The sequence below is a fragment of the Homo sapiens genome, chromosome 12 (genome assembly GCF_000001405.40).
Source record: "Homo sapiens chromosome 12, GRCh38.p14 Primary Assembly".
NCBI classification, from domain to species: domain Eukaryota; kingdom Metazoa; phylum Chordata; class Mammalia; order Primates; family Hominidae; genus Homo; species Homo sapiens.
In genome coordinates, this window is record NC_000012.12 from 95,938,176 (window position 1) to 95,943,330 (window position 5,155).

The window sequence follows — 5,155 nt, forward strand, 5'->3', positions numbered from 1 at the left end:
TACTTTTTCAAATGACTGAACATTTTTTCACAGGCATTAAATTCATTCTCACGGGGGAAAAGAAAGATCGGTGAAAAATTGGTGACAACCTGTGGTTGATGAGTATTTGGAATTTGGATGGCTAATACTAAAGATTTGTAGATTTTCTCAATTTTACACTCTGTACTCATCTCCACTCTTAGGATTCTGATCACCTCTTTCTTGTCACATTTTCACTCCTTTGGTCCTTCTATCTATCTAAATTCACTCTCCTTCCCACTCTCATTCCCTTTATCCTTAAAGTCTTTTTGCAATGAGCATCTTTATCCATGGGTTCAAGGACTTTTTCACTCACAGAAAAACTGGAAGTTCTGTTCCTTTAAACCAATTGCTAAGAGCAGATATCTGCTCTTATTCTGTCTCTATTATATAGTTCATATAACATGTAAATGCAATCAGCAGTCTCCAGATGTTGTTATACTTCTATACTTCCATATGCATGAATTCCTGTATTGATGAATGAAAGGTTGGTGAACAAAAGGGAGGGAGAGGAACAGAACCAGTTATTGTTAGGAAGGGATTATAAAGTCCCCTTTCCAATCAGAAAAAATGTTGAAGTCAGTGGATGTCTTTGTTGTGCGAAATAAAAATAGCATGATGGCTAAACAAAGGCTCTGTACCAAAAGAGAGGGAAAATGTTATTGGATTGCATAGCAAATGCCTGAAAGTTCACATCTTAAATACACGTTCACATCCAACTTCCAATAGATGAAAAAGATCAAAAGCTCAGAAATATCAGGAATGTAAAATGGTGGTGTATAACTGCCAGCCATCCATTTTAGAGGTCGCATAAGCTAAATGATTAAGAACATAGACTCTCTCTATGTCCCTTAATCCTCACACTTCAATTTCCCCATCTTTCAAGAGGAATGATGCAAATAGTATCTACCTTGTGGGATTGTTAGGTAAGTTACCACGTCCAGCCTTTGGATGGCCTCAGTTGCATAGTATGTGCTATGGGAGTGTAAGCACATGGAGAGGTGCACTCTGAGGGAGGAATGTGCCTGGTGTGTTTCAGGAACAGTAAGGACACCAGTGGGCCTTAAACACAGTGAACAAAGGGGACAGCACCCCAGATGAAGCCAGAGAGACAAGAAGTCCAAGATCACGAGGGCCCTGGAGGCCATTTTCTCAGTGAAATGGAACCATTCAATGAATCACTCTGATGCTGAGCTGAGAAGAGACTGTAGAAAGGGAAAAGGGTCACACAGGGAGATCTACTAGGAGACTACAGCCACTGGGAGGCAAGAGATAATGCTATCCCTTCCTTGGGATAGCAGTGGAAGTGGTGAGAGGTGGTCCGATTCTAGATGTGTTTTGACAGTAGAGTCTACAGGATTGGCTGATGGTTTGGATGTGGAGTATGAGATAAAGAACTGATTGCAGAAAGGATGGAGTTGCCATAAATGGAGACAGAGAAGGCAGTGGGGGAAGGGGCACTTGGGAAGATCAGAGGCTCATTTTGGAACATGTGAAATTTGAGATATATATTAGATATCTAAAGGGACATGGGTGTAATGTATACTGTTCTTTCAAGTGAACCCCATGCTGGTTGATTTAATTAATTGTTGTGTTCCTTTAATAGCTGTACAATTATATGTGGTCTCTGAGTCAGGTCTCTTGACAAGTGTCATTGCAAGGGTAGTAGGAATGGCACTATGGAAAGACCCCTGGCCTTTGGGGGCAGGTAGGTTTAACTCCTGCCTCTGACTCTTATCCACTCTTTCTCTTGGGTCTAGAGAATTATGCTTAATGCACTGTAGAATCTTCTATCAAGTATGAATAATAACACCTTCCTTACAGGCCTGGTGCAATTTTCAAACACAGATAATATATGCAAAGTGCCTGCTCATAGTAGGCTTGTGAAGAAGTGATCCCTTATACTTTTTTCAAACTAGATATTGTCCAGATCCTTCCTCTTTCTGGCCCACTCTGTCAACTGCCGCCATTTGAAATGGGAGCATAACTGACAACTACTTTTTGTAAGAAACTCCCAATCAAAGTTCTTGAAACCTGGTCATTGGAGAGGAGTCTACCAGCAATATCAGTGCAAATCTGGGGGACCTGAATCAGCTTCATGTAGAGTCTTAACATTCTGAGCTCCAGGGGAAGTGGGGAAAGAGGAGTGGGATTTGATAAGGCCCAGTCCTAAGTTTCTAAACCAACTCTAAATAAAATGAATAATAACACTGTCTACCAGATATTATTCGAATCAGTTTATTTGTTTTTTTGCAACAACCCCCTCTAAAACCCAATGAAAACGAATTTCCAGATGATCTCAATGTGAGATAAAAAGCAATGTTTATCTTCACATGCATATGAGGATTTAGACTGGTTCTCTCAGACCCAATGCCCTTCCATTTTTTTTTCCCACCTCCTCTCCGCCTACCTTGGACAAATACTAGGAAAAGGGGCTGTGAACTGTGTCCTTGGATGGTGTGGGGAGATCACAGTTAGCAATTTTTTGTTTACCTAAAAGCCAGGAGCCACTGGGTCCTTGGCCTGCTTAGATGCACGCTGCCGCTTCTGACTAGGTCAGAGCACAGCACAATGATGAGGAAATTACTTTCACCTTGACCTTTAAGGCACTGCTGGCGTCAGGCTATTTAGTATGGACGCTTCTGTTGACATTTCTGACTGCCCCTTTTGCGAAGTGAAAAAAAACAAACAAACAAACAAAAAAAAAAACTGGAGGTCAAGAGGAAGGAAGGATGGGTTAAGGAGTCAGCATATACAAGTCAGATAATGTGAAAAGTATTTTATAAGAGCTGCTATCGGGATGTTGGTTATTACCAAGGAAAAATGTGTCATCCTTATCCATCTATAACTACTGAACAGTAACTAAGGAAAGAAATTCACTCATCCTTTCTGCTTTTGCAAACCTCCTGTTTGCAGGAGCTTATCAGGTAATGTTGTCTGTCTGGACTGTGAATCAGATGCACAGTTCACCCACAAACATAAATACCTATGAAAAAGAAATATAATTTCTTTTAGACTCACCCAGAACTTGCAAGCTTTAAGTACATGGTCTGTGAAGTCAGGAGAGGAACTATACTATTGGCTGAAATCTAATCTTTAACTTAATTGGCCAGGAAGACAAATAGCAGGATTAAAACACACGAATAATAGTAATAATACCTATTACTTGTTTAGAGCTGGGCACTGGGCTAAGTGATTTATGTTTTATTTTATTTAAAACTCAGACAAGCCCATAAAGTAGAAACAGCTCTCCCTATGATGAGGATGAGAAAACGAGGCTTCGAGAAATTACTGTAAAGAAATTCCCCAAGGTCAAACAGCTTATAGGAAACAGAACTCAGACTAAGACAAGTTTATTGAACCCTATTTTTCTATAATTTTAACCCATCCTTTATACATACAATTGCATAGTTCTGCAAATATGCCTAAAATTGCAAAATGTAACTGATTAAAGTCTTCAGCAGAAATTTTATAATAGAAAATTTTAATATTTCTCTGTGAATTAGTGACTTTATGTGTTTCTATTCCCCACTATTTCTACTTCTCTTTTTAAAGACATAGAAATATATGTATGTATAAACTTTTTAAAAGCTATGCACACACACACACAAACAACCTGTTTGTGATTGTGTATATGAGCTGTGAATAATCTTCTGATGCCCCCTCCCCCCCACCCTTAGGGTCTCTTTCACTCACATTGTCTATATATTTTCCAATTTTTATCTTTCTCTTTCCTAACTGATCTCTCTTTTATAGGCCATAATATGAAGCTAAATTATATTCTTATTTATCGTGGTCATCTAAAGGAGTGTTTGCTTTCTGTTCCAGGTTTTTTTAATGAGACTAAATTAACTTTTATATTTTGTGGGTTTGCAGGCTTAGTCTGCTTTTATAGTATATTATTTGTGTCCACATCTATCACTTTTATTGTAAAGTCTTTACTGGGCAGGGAAAGCGCCTTTCCTATCTTTGTATGTTCCACAAGACTTAACACAGAGCTTGTGATAAACATGAATAAACGAAATCAAGTAATTAAGGACTCAAAAGCCTGGGCCTGGCAGTGTTTCCATAGCAATTGGTAGCAGGAAGCGACGAGGCTGAGAATCACAGACCATCTTCCATAAACTTGATTCTGTCTCCAATTTTGGTCGCAAGTTGCTTGTAGGCCCACCAGACACAGCTGAGGGGTGGGAGGGGGCATGCGGAGGGGCGGACACTGAGCTGAAACCTATTTTACCTCAGCGAGTTTGGATCCAGGAGCCTTTCCAACCTATCGTTCGGGAAGGCGTTGTGGGAAAAGTGGGCGGAGGTGCCAATCGATCCTCCAGTCTCGGCTCTATCCTCCCCCAGCCCGGTTCCCGGTCATCTCAGGGACCGTCTGGTAGCTGATCCCGGAACGCAGCTGGCCAACGGATAAGTGCGGGGCACCCGCCACCCGCGCGGACCCAGGAGCACCTCCCCTACCGCATCCCCCTCCTCCCCACCCCCAGGTTCCCTCGGCTCGCGGCCCTCCGCGTCCCGGGCTCCCGCCCCAGAACCTGTGGGCAGATGTTTCCTCCACGCAGTACCCTCCCGGGGCTCTGCCTCCAGGCTCGCGTCCCAGCACCCTAGGCAGAGGTTTCCCCCACTCTGTCCTCTCCCGGGGCTCTACCTCCAAGCTCCCGTCCCTGCCCCTGGGCACAGCTTTCCCCTACTCTGCCCTCTCCAGGAGCGCTATCTCCAGGCTCCCACCCCAACCCCCCGGGCAGAGGTTTCCCCCATGGCCCCCCTTCCGGGGCTCTACCCCAGGTTCCGGTCCCTCACTCCCGAACACTCCGGGTGCCCTCACCCAGCCAACCCTTGACGCGCTTCCACATACCACGTGATCCACACAGCTCACTTTGATCTCTCGGGGTGACCAAGCTTAAGTTTCCTTATCTGAAAAGTAGGGACACTAGTCTCCATCTCGTTTACTCGGGATGGGACAAGACGACCAAAAAAGAGAGGATTCCTCATCAGGTTTATTACTCGTTGCCATTCTTGCAATGATTACCGCCCCCGTTGCTGTGGTTGGGGGAGGCGAGCAAAGGGCAGCGGCTGCGAGCGCCCGCCCCCGCCCCACCCTCCCAGCCCCGGACAGCGCAGGCTGCGGCTTTTC

General features: G+C 43.8%; 1 protein-coding gene across 3 annotated transcripts in view; it reads right to left on the bottom strand.

Moving 5' to 3' along the window:
- The window catches only part of CCDC38 (coiled-coil domain containing 38), a 76,186-nt gene extending 71,128 nt beyond the window's left edge, over positions 1–5,058 (bottom strand). For 2 of the 3 annotated variants that reach the window (NM_182496.3, XM_011537889.2), the window contains exon 1: positions 4,256–4,439. The gene's annotated coding sequence lies outside the window, so the exon portion shown is untranslated. Of the gene's footprint in view, positions 1–4,255; positions 4,440–4,876 lie in introns of those variants that run through there. The other variant, XM_011537883.3, reaches the window with a different exon arrangement.
- Positions 5,059–5,155: the final 97 nt, after the last annotated feature.